The sequence below is a fragment of the Homo sapiens genome, chromosome 11 (genome assembly GCF_000001405.40).
Source record: "Homo sapiens chromosome 11, GRCh38.p14 Primary Assembly".
Taxonomy (NCBI): Eukaryota; Metazoa; Chordata; class Mammalia; order Primates; family Hominidae; genus Homo; species Homo sapiens.
The window spans coordinates 27,134,737-27,159,634 of NC_000011.10; the positions used below are offsets into that span (position 1 = coordinate 27,134,737).

A 24,898-nucleotide genomic window follows, 5' to 3' on the forward strand; every position below is an offset into this window, starting at 1 on the left:
AAAGAAGACACAAACACTAAAAACAATCCTAAAATTCATAGGTAGCAACAAAAGGCCCTAAATAGCCAAAGCAATCTTGAATAAGAAAAACAAAGCTGGAAATATCACACTTCCTGATTTCACACTCTCTTACAAAATTATGTAATCAAAACAGTATGGTACTGGCATAAAAACAGACATATTGATGAACAGAACATAACACAAAGTCCAGAAATAAACCCAGACACATATGGTCAACAAATCTTTGACAAGGACCCCAAGAACACACATGGGGTAATGATAGTCTCTTCAATAAATGGTGAGTCAGATATGGCAGAAATGTTGGAACTATTAGACCAGGAATTTTTTTATGATTAATATGTCCTTGTAACAGAAAAAAAGTAGGCAGCATGCAAGCACAGATGGATAATGTAAAGAGAGAGATGGAAATTCATAGAATCAAAAAGAAATACTGGAGATAAAAACAACTATAACAGAAATGTATAACACCTTTGATGGGTTCATTAGTAAACTGGACGTGACTGAGGAAAAAAAATCTCTGAGTTAGAGGACATAACAATAGAAACTTCCCAAACTGAAAAATAAAGAGAAAAAACTTATAAAAAAAAAAAAAAAACAGAACAGAATATCCAGGAACTGTGGGACAACTACAAAAGGCATAATGTGTAACTGTTGTGGGAAGTCAGGGACCCTGAACAGAGGGACCAGCTGAAGCTGTGGCAGAAAAACATAAATTATGAAGATTTCATGGACATTTATTAGTTCCCCAAATTAATACTTTTATAATTTCTTACACCTGTCTTTACTGCTATCTCTGAACATAAATTGTGAAGATTTCATGGACATTTATCACTTCCCCAATCAATACTCTTATAATTTCCTATGCCTGTCTTTACTTTAATCTCTTAATCCCATCATGTTTGTAAGCTGAGGATGTGTGTCGCCTCAGGACCCTGTGATGATTGTGTTATCTTTACAAATTGTTTGTAAAACATGTGTGTTTGAATGATATGAAATCTGGGCATCCTGAAAAAGAACAGGATAACAGCAATTTTCAGGGAACAAGGGAGATAACCATAAGGTCTGACTGCCTGCGGGGCCTGGCAGAACACAGTCATATTTGTCTTCTTGCAGAAAGCAAATAGGAGAAATATCGCTGAATTTTTTCCCAGCAAGGAATAATCCTGGGGAAGGAATGCATTCCCAGGGGTAGGTCTACAGATGGCCGCTCTGGGACTGTCTGTCTTATGTGGTTGAAGATAAGGGATGAAATACGCCCTCGTCTCCTGAAGTGCACTCAGGCTTACCAGGATTGGGAAATTCCAGCCTGGTGAATTCTAGTCAGTCCGGTTGTCTGCTCTCAAACCCTGTTTCCTGTTAAGATGTTTATCAAGACAATACGTGCCCAGCGGGACATGGAACCTCATCAGTAATTCTAATTTCACCCTCTGCCTTGTGATCTTTTATTGCCCTCTGAAGCATGTGATCCCTGTGACCTACTCCCTATTCGTACACCCCTCCCTTTTTGAAATCCCTAATAAAAACTTGCTGGTTTTGCAGCTCAGGTGGGCTCCACAGAAACTGCCGATACATGATGTCACCCCCAGAGGCCCAGCTGTAAAATTTTTCTCTTTGTACTCTTTATTTCTCAGACCGGTTGACCCTTAGGGAAAATAGAAAAGAACCTACACTGAAATATTGGGGGCTGGTTTCCCTGATATGTAACAGGAATATGAGGAGGAGAAAGACGGAAAGGTACAGAAGCAGTATTTGAAGCAATAATAACTAATTTCCCCAAATTAATATCAGATGCTAAACCAGAAATCCAAGAATTTCAGAAAACAACAAGCCAGATAAATCCCAATAGCAACAAAAACTACACCTAAGCATATTATATTCAAAGTTTGAAAATCAAAAATAAAGAAAGAAACCTTGTTAGAAGTCAGAGGGAAGAAAACACTTTACCTACAGAAAAACAAGAATAAGAATTACACCATACTAGTCTTCAGAAACCATGCACACAAACAAGCAAGAAGACAGAGAAGTGAAATATTTAAGTGTTGAGAGAAAGAAAAACATCAACCTAGAATTCTGTACCCAGAGAAAAACAATCCTTTAACAGTGATAAAGAAATAGAGACTTTCTAAAACAAAAATTGAGGGAATTTGTGGCCAGTAGACCTGCCTTACAAGAAATGTTAAAAGAAATTCTTCAGTGAGAAAGAAAAAGATGTAGGCCAGAAACTCTAATCTACATAAAAAACGAAGAGCATCAGAGAATAAATAAGTGAAAGTAAAATAAAACATCACTATACCTTGAGTGGTAATTAGGTTCTCAAGTTTTTGGTTACATGAATCCTTCAGTCAATGTCTCTGATGAGAATCAGCTTTTGCCAGCTTTAGTTAGAACGTGAACTACCTTGATCAAGTCTCAGGACTTCTTTCTTTCATTTAATGTTAGTAGATAGCACTGAGTGTTTTCCATGTTTATAATGTTAATATCAGGCTACAGTATTACCATGTTGGTATCAGACGGCAATCATTGTAATAAAACCACAGGATCTTGCTCTCTTGTGGGATTCTAGGCTCAGGCGTTTGACTTTAGAAAGTTCATGAACACCCTGAAATTATATGTACTATGTATTTATGCATGTGGTATGTATCACACGTTTTTCTGAGTCAAAAGATTATTAGTTCATCAGATTTTTGTAGGTAACTGAGATCCCCTGTAAAAACAAACAAATAAACAAACAAAAAACTATTCTTATAAAGTTGTTATTGAGCCCTTGGATGAAAAAAACATTACTTGGGTTTTTGCCTTTTACAGGTTTTCAAAAACACTTCCAATCCATTCATTTGCTTATATTTATAACAGGTCTCTGAAAAAGGCAAGGTTGTTCTGCCCTTATGCCAGTAGAGGAGACAGTCTTTTCATTTTGTTTGGTAGAACACCACATCAAAATGAGATGAGTTTGTGTTCATCTTTACTTCAATACTGCTAGTGGATAAGATTAGTCAGTCTCATAGGAAAAAAAAAGGATAATCAAAACTAGCTATTATTCTTTACAATATTACTCTTTGTGATAGCTAGTTTTGATTATCCTTTTTTTCCTACTGAATTAACCAATTATTTTGTTAACATGTATACAACCATAATAAATGCCTTTAGTGATGATCGCTGTGTCAAGTCTTAATGGAAGCTGCCCCTTCCCATCATTAAGATAAGCAGTGTGAACAGGTCAGTGTAAAACCCAACAGTACAATCTGAAATTATTAGGAAGTATCCCTTTAGAAGGTACTACCCTCAGATTCATTACCACAAACACCCACCTCCCAACTTTCCCCATCCTCACCACCCAGTAACCTAAAGAAAGCACAATGAGTATACTGTGAACAGACTTGGAATTTTATTTCTGCTAAAACTGTAAATTTTTTTCTAATTCCAATTTAGTTTTAAAGATTTGAAAATAGAAACAGATGGGGTTAGCAGATGTTATTAAGAAAAATATTTCCTACTTAAATGCTACATACCCAATGTAAGCATTTAATTAAATATTTGAGTAACGTTTAAAAGCCATTTTTAGAGGAAGAGGAAAAGCCATTATTTTCCTACAACTTTTATTATGAAATTTTTGTCTGATAATCACCCAATGTTGATTTTTCAGAAATTTCTTCATAAACTTGGATTCCCCTTCCCTCTAGAAATAATGAAATAACCTTTTGCATTACACTCCAATAAATACTTAGATCTATAAAACATGAAATCATCTTAAATGTCATTAAATTCACTATTTCCAAAAGTATAACAATATCATTAGCAATAGATAGTTATTTTAAAATTTCAGAATTTAAACTTTTTAAAAATGTTTATTATATATTTTATAGTTAAAATTTTCTAATTATGGTAAGTGATGCTGATTTTCCATTTATAATAATTACATAAAGCTCCTTTTAAAATTAAACTTAAGTAACTATTTTAAAAATACTACTAACAGTGCAGGTGGTACTATTTTGAAGGTAGTACTGAATTGACCAAAGTTTGGAAAATGCTGATCATTTTATGAACAAGCAAATAGAATCACAGAAGAGAAATTACTTTCCATGGCTATACATAGTGAGTAACAGAGCCAGAATTCAAACACAAGTTTTGGATTCCACATTATTTCTCATTCCACTGTTTCACACTGTGAGGATTTCAATTTCATGTGGAATTAGCTTGGCTCCATGATGCTTCCAAATGTCTGACCAATGGCTTTACTTTGCATTTGCTTTGAAGCAATCCCAGAAATGATTCAAGAACAAACATGAAGGGGCAAAGAGGTCATCTGAGGGTCTAATATTTATGAGAATCTAAATCAGTGCAAAAGCTCTAAAATTGCAGAACACATTAGAATCACCTGGGAAGCTTATTTAAAATGCTGACCCCTAGGCCACACCTATTCAGATTCAGCTGACCTAGGTCTAAGAATCTGGATATTTAACCATCATCCAAAAGATTTGGGTGTGGGTGGTCCATGAACCATACTTTAAGAAATAGCATTCATATCACCTGGTCCAAAAGAAGCATTTCATTCTGACTAAAAAAATCCTGAGGGACCTTTAATGGCCATGCCTTGTCTGTACTTGTTTCACTTTCCTCAGGCAAAGATTTCCGTTATTTTCCTTTGGTATGTCAGTAGCAATGAGAGGCATCCAGACAGGGTATGCTTACCCTATTCTATGACATTAGGGATTGATAACTAGATCCTTTTTTCAGCCATAATAAGTCATATTTCTTCCTCAGCCTCTCACTTACCACATGCTCTCCTTATAACCTAAACTTTTCCTTGGAAGCATTTACCACACTGTAATCAAAAGGTTTTCTGCATAATTAATGATCCAGATTTTTTTTCCTCCCTAGACAAACATGATGGCATTGGCACAGTTATATTAACAACACATGGCATACCCAGAACCCAGCAGACATTCAATAAACAGTTGCTGAATAAATAAGTAAAGTATCACTTTTGAGTGTAGAATATTTCTTTTGGAAATAATCCAAAACTCACATTTGATAGGTAGAAGACATTTTCCCTCCCTTTTATTTTTAGAGAAAGTTGCATTTATAATTATGATCCCATTATGTGGCTGGGAAGATGTTGATTATAACTGCTCTCAAATTACTGAAATCAATATAATAATGAAACATTTATACTGAGTGCAAAATGAGTACTTTTGTTTATTTGTATATGATGTAAGCAGAAGCCCTGACCTAAGCTTGACAATCTCTGCAAGCCATATGGAAAATATCACTGTCACTGATGTTTCATGAGCCTAAATAATGCTATAACTTCTCTCTAAGAAATATCAGTGTGCTGACCCAGAGGCTTAGTTTTCATTATACATATAAAGATATAAATCACAAGGTTTCCCTTTTAATACACTCATGTAAAATTGCAGAATTTGTCACCTGACTGTTCTGGGTTAAGTCATACACAGAGAGACCTAATTATTCAGCTGGTGGCAGGGTAGCAGGGTGCAGAAGATGCAGTGAATATAGACATGCTGCTTCACTTTAAGACATAAATAATAATATTTCCTTTTTTAATACACCTAAGCAAAACTCAGTTCTTACCACCCTAGTTGTTTAAGTCCTCATTCTCAGACCAATGGTGGGACAAAGGCAGATGAAGAAAAAGGATGTAATGAATATAAATGTGCAAGGGAAAAGAAAACTTATTTATAAGATTTTATTTTTCCTTATATAATTTGCTTTCAAATTTTAGCCAGTGTTCTTGAAATACTGGATTCAACCAGAATTGAAATGAAACTCTCATGAAAGCTAGCATTTAATGATCTCTGGAATGTCCTATACATTTTCTTGAAAACAGCTGAAAGTTCTAGTAATGATGAATAATGTACTTTCTCAGCAATCAAAGGGAGACCTAGTCTCAAGCTTGAAAAAGCTCACATCTGAAGCCATCACTAAGTTGTTTGCCACTGGGATTATTGGGCAAAAAATTAAATCAGGGTACCCCTGTAAAATCTTTTAAGTTAAGACAATCTAGGATACCACTTAACTTTCCTTTAGCAGCAACGCAGACCCTAGAGTCACTGTCTCTCCCTGCATACCTATCCTCCCAATCCCAACTTCATGGCTGCTCAGTATGTATCACCATCTCAATCACTGGAACCGCAACCACTGTGGGCTGGCTATCCTGTGCCCTGGACCCTATGGCCACTGTCATTCTACAGGTGTCTATGCTCCTAACCCCAGCTCCATGGCTGTTCCATGTGCACTTGCATGTCACGCCCTGAAGCTATCACCACTGTGGGCTAGCTACTGAAACAATGGGCTATCTAGCACAATGCCACCTATGAGCTGGACCTGGCACCAAGAGGAATCCCATCAGCCATGAAATCCCCCATAAGAAACAAACAACAACAAAAAGAGATCAGGAAGTCCTCAGCAGCCTTCCACCAATTACGCCAACAGCCCTTGCTGCTACTGAAGATACCCAGAGCCTTGGCCATTGAGGACTCCTAAAATCTTCAAAGATGCTGATCAAAGGTGACAGACAGGCACAGATACTATACCACTGGGCCTTTCCCAGAACTGTAACTGCCACACTCCACCCAGCTGGCACCCTCACATCTACCCACAGATGAAGGTCCTTCCCCACCAAAACCAGTCCATAAAACCTGGAAGAGGTAACTGGCTCCATCAAATATGCAGACATCAACACAAGACTATAACAAAAATTTTGTTTAAATCAAGAAAGATGACAACACCAAAGAGACACAATAATTTTGTAGTAACAAACCCAAAGATGAATACCTAAAATTTCATGGACAAATAATTCAAAATAATTGTTTTAAGGAAGCTCTGTGAGCTCTAAGGGAAGATAAGCTGATAACTCAATGAAATCAGGAAAATAATAATGAAAGAATATACAAACAAAATGAGAAGTCCAACACACAGAAATCATTAAAAAGAACCAAACAGAAATTCTGAAGCTGAAAAATATAATGAATGAAATGAGAATTGCAATAGAGAGCATCCACAACAGACTTGATCAAACCGAAAAATCTTTGAGCTTGAAGACAACTCATTAGAAATTATCCATGCAGAAGAGAAAAGAAAAAAAAAAGAAAAGCAATGGAGAAACATATGTGAATTATGGGACTCCACCAATGTAAACAATCAAATTATGAGAGTTCCAGAAGGTATAGAGAAGGAAAAAAAAACAGAAAGCTTATTTTAAAAAACGTAAATTACATTTTTCCAAATCTTGCAGAATTATGGACATCCAGGTACCTGAAACTCATATGTCCCCATACAAGGTCAATTCATAAAGAACTTCATAAGGCACATTATAATAATAAAATCGTCAAAAATCAAAGGCAAAGAAAGAATTTTGAAAGCAGCAAGAAAAAAAAGAAAACTCATCTCACACAAGGAAACTTCCATAAGACTATTAGCAAGTGTCTCAGAAGAAACTTTGCAGGCTAAGAAAGAGTGGGATGATATCTTTAATCATTAAAATGAAATAACTGTCAACTAAGAATAATTTACACACAAAAAAGCTGCCCTTCAGAAATAAAGGTGAGATAAAGACTTTCCCAGACAAACAAAAGCTGAGGAAGTTCATTACCAGTAAACCTGCCTTACAAGAAATACTAAAGAGAGTTCTTCAAGTTAACATGAAAGGATGCTAACTAACCACATGAAAACATATGAAAGTCTAAAAGTCCCTATAAAGGTAACAGTATAGTCAAATTCAGAATACTCTAATATGGTAATATTGGTGCTTAAATCACTATTAACTCTAATATAAAAGTTAAAAGACAAAAATATTAAAATAACTATAGCTACAATAATTTGTTAATAGATATACAATATTAAAAAGTATAAATTATGACATCAATAACATAAATGTGGAGGGAGAGGTAAAAGTGCAGTTTTTGTTAAGTGTACAGTATCTAGATGAAGTTATATATTATTAGCATAAAATACTGGTATAATTATAAATATTTTATGTAAGCCTCCTGGAAACCACTGAGAAAAAACCCGTAGTACATTCAAATAAAAAGGAGAATTAGATCGAAGCATAACACTATTTAAAAACTCATCAAATCATAAAGGATGACAGCAAGGGAGAAAGTAAGAAACAAAGAATGTATAAAACATTCAGGTCCGGGCATGGTGGCTCACACCTGTAATCACAGCACTTTGGGAGGCCTAGGCGAGCAGATCACCTGAGGTCAGGAGTTCAAGACCAGCCTGGCCAACATGTTGAAACCCTTCTCTACTAAAAATACAAAAATTTGCCGGGCATGGTGGTGGGAGCCTGTAATCCCAGTTCCTCAGGAGGCTGAAGCAGGAGAATCACTTGAACCCAGGAAGTGGAGGTTGCAGTTAGCCGATTGTGCCATTGCACTCCTGCCTGGGCAACAGAGCAAAAACTCCATCTCAGAAAAAAAAAAAAAAAGAAAAGAAAAGTGGCAGGGCACGGTGGCTCACGCCTGTAATCCCAGCACTTTGGGAGGCCGAAGCGGGCGGATGACCTGAGGTCAGGAGCTCGAGACCAGCCTGACCAACATGGAGAAACCCCGTCTCTACTAAAAATACAAAATTAGCCCAGTGTGGTGGTGCGTGCCTGTAGTCCCAGCTACTCAGGAGGGTGAGGCAGGAGAATCGCTTGAACCTGGAAGGCGAAGGTGGCAGTGAGCTGAGATTGCGCCACTGCACTCCAGCCTGGGCAATAAGAGTGAAACTCCATATCAAAACACACACAAAAAAAAAAAAATAGAGAGAGAAAATGCAGGGGAGAAAGAAACCCTAATTGTGGTCTCTGCAGAGTGAGCGAGACAGGCAAATTTTGATGAGACTTCAAAACTTGGGCAAAGAAATTGGGATGGAATGGGATTTTAATTTTTGTTCCTTTGGCCTGAGGACAAATTGCAATGATCACATTATGTAGGCAGGCTAATTCCCTGAAAGAAAGCCTTCCACCAGGCAGGGACTGAACAATTGAGCCTGGAGGATTCACAGTCACCAGAAAATGAAGAGGCAGTCTTAGAGAGTAGAAATCTAAAGAAGGGGGCTCCAAATGATGTGTAAGATTTCTAATACAGGCCGGGCGCGGTGGCTCATGCCTGTAATCCCAGCACTTTGGGAGGCCGAGGCAGGCGGATCACCTGAGATCAGAAGTTCGAGGCCAGTCTGGCCAACATGGTGAAACCCCGTCTCTACAAAAATACGAAAATTAGCCAAGTATGATGGCGGGTTCCTATAATCCCAGCTACTCAGGAGGCTGAGGCAAGAGAATTGCTTGAACCCAGGAGGCGGCCAAGATTGCGCCACTGCACTCCAGCCTGGGTGACGGAGTGAGACTCCGTCTCAAAACAAAAGAAAACAAAAAAACAGAATTCTGAAACATATGTGCTGGATATACTCAAAAAACAACCCCTCTAAAACTAAACTAATCTGAGATCTAAACCTCCACTGCAAGTGAGACAGACTCACTTTCTTATCTGAGTTTAATCAAGTTAAGTGCCTAGTAATACAAAAACATCACCACTCTTCAGATGATTAAAATATACATAGCATCCTGACACATAAATTCACAACATTTAGGAGACAATCCCAAATTACTCAAATTATAACATGCTAGGAAAGTATGAGCCATTCTCGTGAAGAAAGACAAACATTAGATGTCAACCCAAAATGACCCAGATTTGGAGATTATCAGGCAATGACTTTAAAGAAGCTATTAAAACTATGCCCACAAGTTGAAGAAAAATATGTTTAAATGAAACAAAAGAGTAGGAATCTTGGCAGAGAAATAGAAAATTAAAAGTAAATTGGAATTTTAGAACTAAAATATACAAAATCTGAAATGAAATTAGCTAAATGGGCTTAAAAACACAAATGAACATAATGGAGGAAATATTCAATAAGCTTGAAAATAAATCAATAAAAATTATTCCATCTGAAAAAGAGAGAAAAGATTGAAAAATAATATGCAGAACCTCAGGAGCATGTGGGGAGATCTCAAAACTACAGAATATGTGTAATTTTTGTCCAAAAGAAGAAAAGAGAGAACAAAGAAAGAAAGATTATTTGAAGAAAGAATAGCTGAAAACCCCCAAATATGGTAAAGGACATCTATACTGATTCACACATTCAAGAACCATAGCTGAAAACCCCTAAATATGGTAAAGGACATCTATACTGATCCACACATTCAAGAACCTTAGCAAACACTAAGCAGGATAAGCATTACTAAAACCACATCTAGGCATATCATAGTCAAACTGCTGAACCCAAACACAAAAAGAAAAAAAATGAAAACAACCAGAAATAAGCATATTGCAGGAAGGGAACAGAGATTCAAATAACCGTGAACTTTTCAGAAACTATGAGATCCAGAAAACAGTGTGATTTGTTTTAAATTGCTGAAAGAAAATTGTCAGCCTAGAATTCTATATCCTTTACAAATAAAGGTTTAAAAAAGTCACTTTCATATAAAATAAACTAAGAGAATTTATTGCCAGAAGACCCACACTAAAAGGCATGCTAAAAGGAAATTCTTCAGACTAAATGAATTTGACAGAGTTAAACACAGATCTTTTAAGAATGAACAAAAAGCATCCAAAATAGTAAAAACTTGGTTCATATAAGAACCATTTTTTTTTGAGACAGGGTCTCACTCTGTCATCTTGGCTGGAGTGTGGGGGTGCAATCATAGCTCATTGAAACCTAGAAATCCTAGGCTCAAGTAATCCTCCCATCTCAGCCTCGTGAGTAGTTAGGACTACAGGCACATTGCACCATGCCAGGAGAATTTTTTCTAGTTTTTGTAGAAATGGGATCTCACTGTGTTGCCCAGGCTGGTCTTAAACTTCTGGCCTCAAGCAATTCTCCCACTTCAGCCTCCCAAAGTGCTAGGATTACAAGAATGAGCTACCATGTCTAGCAAATTTTTCTTTCTTAATGTCTTTAAAATATATACAAATACTTAAAGCAAAAGTTGTATTATATTTACCATGTGATCCAGCCATTCAACTCCTAGATATATGTACCCAAGAGAAATGAAAACATGTCCACAAATGTTTACAGCAGCATTATTCACAATAGCCAATGTCCAAAAACTGGATACATATAAATGCTTACCAAACAGTGACTAGATAAATAAAATGTGGTGTATTTACACAACGAACTACTACTCTGCAAATAAAAAGGAACAAATTTCTGATGCATGCACCATGCATAAGTATAAAAAAAATCAAAGAATACACAGTGTGTGTGACTCCATTTATAAAAAAATTCTAGAAAATGTAAAATAATCTACAATGGCAAAAACAGATCAGTGGGTTTCCTAGGCTGGGGCAGAGGGATGTTTGGACTGCAAAAGAGCACAAGGAAGCTTTTGAGGTGATGGGAATGTTCTGTAACTCGATTTTGACTGTGGTTTTCCTGATGTCAAAATTCATCTATGTACTATATACCTCCAATGGCTGCAGTTTATTGTATCTAAAATATTATTCAATTAAATTGATGAAAAAATTTCAAAGTAAAAAAATAGTAGGAAGAAATGAGTTGTCTAAGAAACCAAGCACAAGAGAGGGTGGTAAAAATGAAAAGTGTTTAAGTGTTTGTAAGAAATAAAATGTGATGGCTTACATATGCCCACAAATGAGACTAAAGTGCATTTGAGGAAGGCTTCCTCTTTCCCAAAAGATGATTTTACACTGACTGCTACACACTTACAGGTCAGTGTGTTCCTTTTCCCCTACCTCTGATCCATAGTCATCAAATAACTGTTGTCTCAGGACAAAATTTCCTGCTCAAGAATATCCCAGACATTATAGAAAACCAGTATTTTGGAAGTTGAAAGATTCTGAAACATTTAATCATAATTGCATATTTGTAAATTTATAAAAAAGACATTGAGCCAACCCAAATGCCCATCAAGGATAGACCAGATAAAGGAAATGTGGTACATATACACCCTATGCAGCCATAAAAAGAATGAGCTCATGTCCTTTGCAGGGACATGGATGAAACTGGAAGCCATCATCCTCAGCAAACTAATACAGGAACAGAAAACCAAACACCACATGTTCTCACCTATAAGTGGGAGTTGAACAATGAGAACACATGGACACAGGGAGGGGAACATCACACACCAGGGCCTGTCAGGGCATGGGGGGCAAGGGGAGGGAGAGCATTAGGACAAATACCTAATGCATGCGGGGCTTAAAACCTAGATGATGGGTTGATAGGTGCAGCAAACCACCATGGCACATGTATACCTATGTAACAAACCTGCACGTTCTGCACATGTATCCCAGAACTTAAAGTAAAATCAGAAAGAAAAGAAAATACTTTATAATTATATTTAAATATTTGATATAATTGTATTTGAATATAATTTAAATACTAAATAATTTGAATATTAAATACAATTATATTTAACATCTATTCCATAAAATTATTTTGGATGAGTTAATTTGTCTCATTGTTACCAGGGTTGACTGAAGAGCACTAAGTATTTCTTAGATTTTTAAAAAGTAAACTAATGTATGATTCAGCAATTGCACTCCTTGGTGTTTACTCTGATGAACTGAAAACTTATGTCCATACAAAAACCTGCACGTGGATATTTATAACAGCCTTATCCATAATTGCCAAAACCTGGAAACAACCAAGATGTCCCTTGTAAGTGAATGAATAAATAAACTATGGTACATCAGACAATGGAATATTACTCAGCACTAAAAGGAAATGACCTATCAAACCAGGAAAAGACATGGAAGAAACTTAAATACATATTACTAAGTGAAATAAGCCAACCTTCAAGAGCTACCTACTGTATAATTCCAACTATACGACATTCTGGAAAAGGGATAACTATAGAAATAGAAAAGAAAAAAAAAAGATCAGTAGTAGCCAGGGTTTAGTAGGGAAGAAGGGAAAAATTGGTGGAACACAGAGGATTTTTAGGGAACTATATGATACTGTAGTAGTAGATACATGCCAGTAGACATTTGTCAAAACCTATAGAATGTACAATACCAAGGGAGAACCCTAATGTAAACTTTAGGTGATGATATGGCAACACAGGTTCATTTAATGTACCATTGTGGTGCGGGATGTGGATAGCGGAGTAGATTGCATGTGTGTGGGGACATGGGATTTACAGGAACTCTCTGCGCTTTCTGCTCAATTTTGCTAAAACTAAAACTTCTATAAAAATAGAATTTCTTGATTAAAAAATAATAATAAAACTGTCTCTAAGAGCACATTTACTAAAAGAACATTGGCTTTAGATCTAATGGAAAGACAAAAACAGCAGGCTCTAGTATTGTTAAAATTACCAGAAGAATTTTGCTTTTTAATATTTCATTTTACTCCCTGAAGAGCTAAGTTTGAGCCAACCACTTAAAAAAGAATTTGGACTGAATCAGAATCAAAATTTTATTGGAAAAGTTTTGAACAGTTTTCATAATTTCATTTTTTAAAAATAAATGCATTACTTAACCTCTCTTGTATTTTCTATTTTGGGAGTAATAGGCAGAGAAATGTGTTTAGGCTACTGTATGATAATCAGTTCTTACTAATATGGGAAGAAGGAAGAGAAGGATGAGGAAGAAAAGGAAAAAGATGACAGAATGTGGAAGGAAGAGAGGAGAAGAAGAAGAACAAGCTCTCTTTTCATAATTTTATCCTGTACTTCTTATCTATATCATCCTGTCAGAAAACCTCTCTCTGTAGAATCACAGTAAATGGAACCAGCATGTGTTGTGTTTTATGTGGTTTATATAATTTATTTTGAAGGGACAAAAATTTTTAAAAAGTAACTCAATAGAACCAGAATGGAAAGGTTTTATTGTGATTTTATGTGATCTTAAATGCTACATAGAACTATCTGGACCTAAAATAGAGGAGAAAGAGATTATACCAGAAGGCTCCAAATTTAATAAAATAGACTCCACATACAGAAATTCTGGCAGGCTAGCAGAAAGTGACTTAGAAAAACAGTTATGTCTCCATCACAATATGCAACCCTCCAAGATCCCTGAGCTTGGTTTGCATAAAACAGGACAGTTCTCTTGATGCAGGGATTGTTGGCCATTTCTGTATAAAGGGACTTCTCTTTCCTGGGATAGCTAAGGCATTTACTAAGTGTATTAGTCAGTTCTTGCACTGCTATAAAGAAATACCTGAGACTGGATAATTTATAAAGAAAAGAGGTTTAATTGGCTCATGGTTCTACAGGCTGTACAGAAAGCATGATGCTGGCACCTGCTTGGCTTCTGAGGAAGCCTCAGGAAACTTAAAATCATTGCAGAAGTCAAAGGGGGAGCAAGCACTTCACATGGCCAGAGCAGGAGAAAGAAAGCAACAGGGGATGTGCTACACACTTTTAAACAACCAGATCTCATGAGAACTCACTCACTCTTGTGACAACAGTACCCTCGGAGAAATCTGCCTCCGTGATCCAATCACCTCACACCCGGCCCCACCTCCAACACTGGAGATTACAATTGAACATGAGATTTGGGCAGGGACATATATCCAAACCATATCATTCTGCCCCTGGCCCCTCCCTAAACTCATGTCCTTCTCACTTTTCAAAATCCCTTCTCAACAGTCCCCCACAGTCTTAACTTCTTTAAGCATTAAATCAAAAGTCCAAAGTTCAAAGTCTCATCTGAGACAAAGCAAGTCACTTCCACTTCTAAGCCTGTAAAATCAAAAACAAGTTAATTACCCCCCAAGGTAAAATGCGAGTATCGGCATTGGGTAAATATTCTCATTCCAAAAGGGAGAGATCAGCCAAAAAATTAAAAAAAAAAAAAAAGAGGAGGGCTCCTGGCCCCATGTAGCCTGAAACCAAGCAGGGCAGTCATTAAATCTTAAAGCTCCAAAATAATTTCTTTTGACTCCACGTCTCATCCCGGGCACACTGTGGCAAGGGGTGGGCTTCCAAGGCCTTGGGCAGTCCTGCCCTGTGGCTTTGCAGGATTTAGCCCCTGCAGCAGCTCTCAAGGGCTAGTGTTGAGTGGCTATGGCTTTTTCAGACCGAGGGTACAAGCTGCTGGTGGCTCTACCATGCTTTATCATTCTGGGGGCTGGAGGACGATGACCCTCTTCTCACAGATCCACTAGGCAGTGCCTCAGTGGGGACTCTGCGTGCGGGCTTCAACCCCACACTTCCCCTCTGCACTACCCTAGTAGAGGTTCTCCATGAGGGTTCTACCTCTCATTCAGGCTTCTGCCTGTACATCCATGCATTTCCATACATTCTCTGAAATCTAGGTAGAGGCTCCCAAGTCTCAATTCTTGCATTCTGTGTGCCCACAGGCTTAACACCATGTGGAAACAGCCAAGGCTTATAGCTTGCACCCTCCAGAGCAGCAGCCCAAGGTTTACATGGGCCCCTTTTAGCCATGGCTGAAGCTAGAGCTTCTGGGACACAGGAAGCAGGGTTCTGAGGCTGTGCATTGCAGTAAGTCTTGGGTCTGGCCTACAAAACCATTCTTCCCTCAGAGGCCTCTGGGCGTGTGATGGGAGGGGCTGCGAAGAAGGTCTCTGAAATGCCTTCAAGACTTTTTCCCAGTTGTCTTGGCTATTAGCATTTGGCTCCTCTTTACTTATGCAAATTTCTGCAGCCTGTTTGAATTCCTCCCCTAAAAATGGGCTCTTCTTTTCTACCACATGGCCAGGCTGCAAATTTTTCAAACTTTTATGCTCTTCCTCCCTTTTAAATACAAGTTCCAGTTTCAGACCATATCTTTGCTTACACATATGAGGAAAGGTTGCTAGAAGCAGCCAACCCATATCTTAAACACCTTTGCTCCTTAAAAATTTCTTCCACCAGTTACCCTAAATCATCTCTCTCAAGTTCAAAGTTCCACTGATCCCTAGAGCAAGGGCACAATATAGCCAGGCTCTTTGCTAAAGTACAGCAAAAGTGAGCTTTACTCTAGTTCTCAGTAAGTTCCTCATTTCCATCTGAGATCTCCTCAGCCTAGATGGACTTCATTGTCCACATCACTATCAGCATTTTGGTCACAACCATTCAACAAGTCTCTAGGTAGTTCCACACTTTCCCTCATCTTCCTGTCTTCTTCTGAGCCCTCCAAACTGTTTCAGCTTCTGCCTATTACCGAGTTCCAAAGCTGCTTGCACATTTTCAGGTATCTTTATAGAAATGCCCCACTCCTTAGCACCAATTTTCTGTATTAGTCAATTGTTACACTGCTATAAAGAAATATCAGAGACTGGGTAATTTATAAAGAGAAGAGGTTTAGTTGGCTCACAGTTCTGCAGGCTGTACAGGAAGCATCTTCTCAGCTTCTGGGGAGGCCTCAGGAAACACACAATCATGGCAGAAGGCAAAGGGGGAGTGAGCACTTCACATGGCTGGAGCAGGAGGAAGAGAAAGAAAAAGGAGTTGTTACACACTTTTAAACAACCATATCTCACAAGAACTCACTCACTATTAAAACGACAGTACCAAGGAAGAAATCTGCCCCCATAATCAAATCACTTCCCACCAGGCCCCACCTCCAACATTGGGGATTACAATTGAACATGAGATTTGAGTGGGGACACATATCCAAACCATATCACTAAGCAATGAAAGGGAAGATTCCAGAGGTAAAGCAGAAGGTCCAATCCCCCAACCAAAGTTAATTTTACATCTTCCTAACATACTCGACACTTACTTCTTCATCCTGTCTCCTAAGAGTTCCACTATCCATCCCATTGCTGAAGTCAGTAACCTATGAGCAATCCACACTTCTTCCAGTTCCCCACTCTAGATATCCACTCACCAAATCCCTTTGGTTTCATATATACAATGGTACTAGATTCTGCGTACCCTACTCCATTCCCACAGTCATTTTCCAAGTAGAGATCCTACTATCTCTTCCCTAGACTAGTATAATACCCTCCTCCCTAGCCTCCCTCTAATCTTATGGGAATGCCTCCCATCCATTCTGCCCTTGACAGCCAGATCAACTTCCAAAATGCAAATCCTACTGATCCATAGCCAGTAAGTACCCATATTGCCACACAATTGTTTAAGTCTGTGTGGTTAAAATACATACCACCTGCTAAATATTAAATGTTATCCTGGGAGTTGATCTTGCCACTCTCTTCCTTAAAACCACTCTCTTATTTAAAATGTGTTGCCTTCAGGATATAATTCAATGCAAAGCAGGAGAGATAATTTCCTAAAATACCATTTTTGTTTGTTATCTCCTTTACCATCTAATGCTGCTTCCAAACTGGTAACCAAGACTTGCAGTTCTTTGCCCTAGAGATTCTGATGGGAGAAAATTAGAAACTGGGGTCTTTTATAAATGTCTACATCTTTTGAAGAGTAGACAGTACTTAGATTACATTAGATCACCTGGAAGATGAGGAGACAGAACTGATGAGGTCATAGGAAACAATTGTAGGGCATTGGGGGTGAAATAGAAAAATGTATGCACAGTAGGAATCTAAACGCTACACCTCGAACAGTGCAGTAGAAAGGTAGAGAAGCCTCAGAATAAAAGGCGGAATGGTCCACCCAGAGAATCTAGATCCTAGACACTAGAGTTCCCACTTCAACAAAGAGTCTCATAGGTGACTACAAAGCCACAAACCTGCAGGAACCAAAAGGATATGAAGGCTGGAACAATGGGCTCTCCATGACAACCACTGTGGTCAGATGATTGATGCGCTAAAGGGTCTCTCTAAATGTGTGAACTTAGGAGCATGGGAAGCTCCAAGAATAATGAAAGTGTTGTCTGTCTCATGAGCTCCTAAGGCATCCTATCGTGGATCTTATTATGCTCAATGTAGCTACCATTTTTTGTTGCCATTTTTGGCTACCATTGTCAGCCCAGGTGATAGTAAACTTTTTCTGTAAAGGGCCAGACAGTAAATATTTAACCCCAAATTGTGACCAATACAGTCTGGCACAGCCACTCAACTCTACCATTATACGACAAAACAGCCAAAGACAATATGTAAATGAATGGGCACATCAGAGTTCCAATAAAACTTTATTTGCAAAAACAAGCAGTGGGGCAGATTTGGCCCAAGGGCCGTAATTAGCCAACTTCTAGTCCAATGTATTAAATTATAAGCTCACTGAGGTCAGAGATCATATCTTTTACTAAACCAGCAAAAATTTACTGAGAATTTACCATCAAAATCCGTGAAAAGCAGCCATCAGGACTTAGTAGTGATTAAGACAAAATATGTTCTCTAATGTAGCTTAGATTCTACTACAAAAGGGGAGATAGCACATAAATAAAATTAATATCTGAAAGCAACCAATCTTATTCACCAATGAGTCTCTACTGTCCTGCACAATATTCACTACCCACCAAGTACTGAGTATAAATTTGCTCAATGAATTTGCTCATGTCTAGTACTGTAACATTTTTGGCCAACCCTCAGCTCTTTCCTGCCTAAGCAGTTAGGGGCTTAAGCTGCTGAAACTTCCAAGAGGAAGTGGAGTTACAAGCTAGTCCTAAAGCAGCTGGCTCAATCACTCATTATTTTTAATGAAACCACAAGCCAGTGCCTGCCTCCAGCTCCTACCAGGAGCTGAAGAACTTCTTCAGTGTGGGCTCTCCTACAAGGACAAATCTGCTGAAGTAACAGGGAATGAACAGCTCTTGTGGTAAGCTGAGTAATGTCCCTCAAGGATATCCACATCCTTATCCCCTGAATCTGTGAATGTGTTGTCTTACATGGCCGAAAGGACTTTGCAGCTACAATAAAGTTAAGGATTTTCACATGGGGACAGTATCCCGTATAATCCAAACAGGCCCAATATAATCACAAAGGTCCTTATTAGAGTGATACAGGAGAGTCAAAGAGAAGCAAAGGTAAGAGGGGATGGGGTCAGGGGGGAGATTTGAAGATGCTGTATGGCTGGACTTGAAGGTGGAGAAGGAAGTCATGAGCCAAGGAATGTAAGTGGTCTCTAGAAGCTAAAAAAGGCAAGAAATATATTCTCCCCTAGAATCTCCAGAAGGAATGCACCCGGCTGATATCTTGATTTTAGCCCTTGTAAGACGCATTTCAGATATTTGACCTCCAGAACTACAGGATAATAAATCTGCGATAAGTGGTTACTGCAGCTAATAGAAAACTAACACAGTCCCTTGCCCCAAAACTGTCACAATTGAAGAGGCCTGCAAGCCTTTTGAGTCTTACGGTAGATGCCTTGACCTACCTGCACAAGCTTTGTGTTTGCAGCTCTCTTCCCAGAGGCAGCCTTGCAGAGATCCCCAGGCACCACCTGGGAGGCTGAGTGAAGCTGGGGCAGCCAGGATTGTTGCCCACTCTGTTCCTTTTTCCCCCTTCATGGGCCTTCTCCAGCTGCCCCATCAAATCCAGGCAAGGCTCTACAAGACTACCCTCCCCCACTTTCCACCTATGCCTCAACCTTAATTCACCCCAGGCCAGCAGAGCTGCATGTGTCTTTGTGAGAAATCACTGTTCTCAGGTACTTCTCCGTTGAGCAACTGGATATACCCAGACAGCCTAGGGAGTAAGTTCCCAGGGAGGTAAATGCCCACCTAGGACACATCAAACACACCTGTGTCAATTCCAAACTTTGAGTACAAAAAAAAAAAAAAAGGATTACTCAAGAAGGTGCTGATAAAACTTTAAATGTGTAGGTCTCCCAATCAGCATGTGCTGCCAAGAACACTTTCCTGTGGCTCCACCTCTCTCTACTCCCATCACTGAAATTGCACCTTTTTCATCAATGTAGGCCTTATTTCACAGATCTATAGGAAGAAGATTGGACTAGATAATTATTCTAAGGAATCATCTACTGCACCATGACCTGTGACCTAAATAGGCCTAAAAAACAGTTTTTCTTAATGGGTTTAAGCTGCTTTCCATTTTTTACCTCAGAGCACTGAGGGTCCTCTGCCCTAGAGTTCTTTCCATAGAGTTCTGCAAGGCCTGGTTTAGCCAGTTAGGCCAAAATTGTTTTCATGTGATGGGCTAAAACATAGAATTCCTAATATTGCTCAGTACACATTCTCTTTAACTGATTTGATTTTTATAAACCTAAACCTGTACCCACTTTTGTATCATTTTAGCTAGATTTATTCTTTGACTCTTTTATTCTTTTTGTGTTAACTTTTCTACTGTATTTTTTTTTTTTTTTTTTTTTTTTTTAGACACGGTCTTGCTCTGGCACTCAGGCTGGAGTGCAGTGGCATGAATTCTCAACCTCCTGGGATCAAGTGATCCTCCCACCTCAGCCTTCCAAGTAGCTGGAACTACACGTGCATGCCTCCACACAGAGCTAATTTTTTAAATTTTTTGCAGAGATGGGGTTTTGCCTCATTGCCCAGGCTGGTCTCGAACTCCTGGGCTCAAGCAATCTTCCCACCTCAGCCTCCCAAAGTGCTGGGATTACAGGTGTGAGCCACCACGCCTGGCCTTTTACTCTATTTTCATTGTTCTTAGTTTATTTTGCCTCCTTATGATTATTTATACTGCTTTCTTACCTCCATTCTTCTTAGGGCTTTATCAAGATTCCATTTTACTTGTTTTATCCTGTTTTTATACTAATTTTAGTTGCTTTAGCATTTTTAAATTTTTCTAACTAATTAATTTTTATTATATCTTTTCTGATTATTTAAATTACATAACTGGAAAGCATAAAGAGATAATCTGCAGGAATAGCCCATAACCCAAGCAAGAGAAGTAGAATGTTTTCTTCTTCAGAAAACCACCAATTTGTTCTCTTGGTAATTTCTAGACATTAGTAAGTATTATTAGTAGTCTGTGGATCGGGGACCTATAGCAAGTACAATTCGGAGTCTCTCTGAGCACCAGGGGCTTAAATCTCCCTGTGGTAAGCTAAGATGTTAGTAGGGGTTAGAATAAAGGGGAGTATAAGATAAAAGCTTAAGTACTTCCCCCATGTGTGGCCCAGGGAGCTCAAAGTCAGTAAAGAGCTCTTCTAAGCCTAATAAGGAAGGCTTCTTGGGAGAAGTGGGTCTTATTAAGACCTACTTCTTAATATTTCTTAATATTGTTAAATATATTTGCTGACCAACAAATTGTGCTTTTATTACAAGGTAATAAAAACTTCACTATATTGACCTAGAAAACAGATCAATTTAAAAAGTAAAATAGTTGTTTAACTATTTTTATTTTATTTTATTTACTTACTAATATTTAGAGATTGAGTCTCTCACTCCATCGCCCAAGCTCTTCTTGTTGAATTGATCCCTTTACCATTATGTAATGGCCTTGTCTCTTTTGATCTTTGTTGTTTTAAAGTCTGTTTTATCAGAGACTAGGATTGCAACCCCTACCTTTTTTTGTTTTCCATTTGCTGGTAGATCTTCCTCCATCCCTTTATTTTGAGCCTATTTGTGTCTCTGCACATGAGATGGGTCTCCTGAATACAGCATGCTGATGGATCTTGACTCTTTATCCAATTTGTCAGTCTGTGTCTTTTAATTGGAGCATTTAGCCCATTTACATTTAAGGTTAGTATTGTTATGTGTGAATTTGATCCTGTCATTATGATGTTAGCTGGTTATTTTGCTTGTTAGTTGATGCAGTTTCTTCCTAACATCGATGGTCTTTACAATTGTGCATGTTTTTGCAGTGGCTGGTACCGGTTGTTCCTTTCCATGTTTAGCGCTTCCTTCAGGAGCTCTTTTAGGGCAGGCCTGGTGGTGACAAAATCTCTCAGCATTTGCTTGTCTGTAAAGTATTTTATTTCTCCTTCACTTATGAAGCTTAGTTTGGCTGGATATGAAATTCTGGGTTGAAAATTCTTTTCTTTAAGAATGTTGAATATTGGGCCCCACTCTCTTCTGGCTTGTAGAGTTTCTGCCAAGAAATCAGCTGTTAGTCTGATGGGCTTCCCTTTGTGGGTAACCTGACCTTTCTCTCTGGCTACCCTTAACATTTTTTCCTTCATTTCAACTTTGGTGAATCTGACAATTATGTGTCTTGGAGTTGCTCTTCTTGAGGAGTATCTTTGTGGCATTCTCTGTATTTCCTGAATTTGAATGTTGGCCTGCCTTGCTAGATTGGGGAAGTTCTCCTGGATAATATCCTGCAGAGTGTTTTCCAACTTGGTTCCATTCTCCCCGTCACTTTCAGGTACACCAATCAGACGTAGATTTGGTCTCTTCACATAGTGCCATATTTCTTGGAGGCTTTGTTCATTTCTTTTTATTCTTTTTTCTCTAAACTTCTCTTCACACTTCATTTCATTCATTTCGTCTTCCATCGCTGATACCCTTTCTTCCAGTTGATCGCATTGGTTACTGAGGCTTGTGCATTCGTCACATAGTTCTTGTGCCATGGTTTTCAGCTCCATCAGGTCCTTTAAGGACTTCTCTGCATTGGTTATTCTAGTTATCCATTCATCTAATTTTTTTTCAAAGTTTTTAACTTCTTTGCCATTGGTTCGAACTTCCTCCTTTAGCTCGGAGTAGTTTGATCTTCTGAAGCCTTCCTCTTTCAACTCATCAAAGTCATTCTCAATCCAGCTTTGTTCCATTGCTGGTGAGGAGATGCGTTCCTTTGGAGGAGGAGAGGCCCTCTGATTTTTAGAGTTTCTGGTTTTTCTGCTCTGTTTTTTCCCCATCTTTGTGGTTTGATCTACCTTTGGTCTTTGATGATGGTGACGTACAGATGGGGTTTTGGTGTGGATGTCCTTTCTGTTTGTTAGTTTTCCTTCTAACAGTCAGGACCCTCAGCTGCAGGTCTGTTGGAGTTTACTGGAGGTCCACTTCAGACCCTGTTTTCCTGGGTATCAGCAGCGGTAGCTGCAGAACAGCGGATATTGGTGAACCGCAAATGCTGCTGCCTGATCATTCCTCTGGAAGTTTTGTCTCAGAGGAGTACCCGGCCGTATGAGGTGTCATTCCACCCCTACTGGGGGGTGCCTCCCAGTTAGGCTACTCGGGGGTCAGGGACCCACTTGAGGAGGCAGTCTGCCCATCTCTCAAGCTGCGTGCTGGGGGAACCACTACTCTCTTCAAAGCTCAGTTGGAAATGCAGAAATCACCCGTCTTCTGCATTGCTCATGCTGGGAGCTGTAGACTGGAGCTGTTCCTATTCGGCCATCTTGGCTCCCAAGCCATGATCACAAGTTCCAACAATAGGCTGTCTGCAAGCTGGAGGAGCAAGAAGAGCCAGTCCGAATCTTAAAACTGAAGAACTTGGAGTCTGATGTTCAAGTATTCCTGGAAGCATCCAGCACGAGAGAAAGATGTAGGTTGGGAAGCTAGGCCCATCTCCATTCTTGCTTTCTTATACACAAAATAAAAGAAAGTAAGCTCTGTGAATTGTTGATTGACTTGTATATCTCAAGTGTGAAGATTTATTTGATGAAAATGTTAAATATTTGTGAGTGTATAGCTTATGAGATGCAGCTATAATACGTTTAAACCAATGGAGTTTTATTGGCAGAGTAAACGTACACTTGCTTCTAATAATACTCACAATAAAAAATAAGGCCTGTCCCAAGTGCCTTAGCTATGGAGTAATCTGTATCAGTCAGAAAAACTTAACTCCACCCCCAGAAAAAGAGGTTAGCTACCTTCAGATTTGTCTCTGTTTATTTACTATGTAGACTCTAAATCCCATACTGGGGAGATTACCTGTGTTGTCAAGGTTTCCTTTCAAGAAACAACAAACTCTTCACAGGTCAGGTAGCACTTAAAGCTCATGAAATGGAGAATAAAGACAAAGTTGGCATTCTGGCATTCAGAAGGGAAAAGTCTTTAAAGAGTAAAAAACATTCCTATAGTTAGTTGTATAAGTGTACGGAACCATGGGGCATTGCATGACCCAATTTTGGGGCAATTCATGAGTAAGAAAGTGGAGAATTGACAAAGCGGTTAGAAAGGAGGCGTGTTCTACAACAAGACAAGATTACAGAGCCTTTTGGATAAATTAGGATTTCAGCTGGTGCCCCCAATTCACGTTTTTTTGTTTGGTTGGGTTTTTTGTTGTTGCTGTTTTTTGTTTTGTTTTGTTTTAGTAGAGATAGGGTTTCACCATGTTAGCCAGGATGGTTTCGATCTCCTGACCTCATGATCTGCCCACCTATGACTTCCCAAAGTGCTGGGATTACAGGCCTGAGCCACTGCTCCCGGCCTTCCAATTCACGTTTGGAAGAGGAAACTTGCAGATCGGAGTGACTCATTCTTCAAGTGTGTTCTTTAGGCAGGGCCTCCATCTAGTGGTTTGCCCTGGAAATTAACCCGCAGCCTTTATTAAATACACACTACTTCTTTTCACAAACTTTATGAAAATAGAAAATTAGAGCTCCCTCATGTAGCATGGCAGAGGAAAATTTCCCTCCTGAACTCATGAATTCTGTCCTTTCATTGCTTGCTAAGAAGTGCAGCATTCTTAACGTCTAGATTTTGTCATGCCCTCTCCATTCATGGAGTTTTCATACCCAGTGTATCTCTTTGCACATAGAAGAAAACTGTGATTTCTAACAACCAAAGAAACAAAACTGTGTGTGTCTATGTGTGTCTGTGTCTCTGTGTGTGTGTAGAGTGTGCTAAGAAAGAGCTCAGCTGTAGAATAGACAATAGCAATTGGTAAAGGTGTGGACATATCATAAGTATTAGTAAGAACAACAGGAGAATGGATGAATGTTAACTGGACAGTGAGATAAAAGCAGATGAACAAACTTGCAAGGGAGGAACAGCATGTCTCACCAGGAAGCAGAATGGGGCCAAAACAAGCTGAATCTCAGCTGGGACATACATAGTCACTGAATCAGTGACGTCAGATTTTCAGAGCTCTCCTGCTCCTATCTGTAACTTTGAACAAGTCCTTCTCCATGTGAGCTTCTGACATTTTATCACTGGATTTGTTTTTTTTTTTT

General features: G+C 38.8%; 1 long non-coding RNA gene across 3 annotated transcripts in view; it reads right to left on the reverse strand.

Annotated features, from left to right (window-relative positions):
* The window catches only part of BBOX1-AS1 (BBOX1 antisense RNA 1), a 172,928-nt gene that overhangs the window by 87,551 nt on the left and 60,479 nt on the right, over positions 1–24,898 (reverse strand). For all 3 annotated transcript variants that reach the window (NR_125768.1, NR_125767.1, NR_125766.1), the window contains exon 3: positions 16,314–16,416. This is a non-coding gene — a long non-coding RNA (BBOX1 antisense RNA 1). The remainder of the gene's footprint in view (positions 1–16,313; positions 16,417–24,898) is intronic.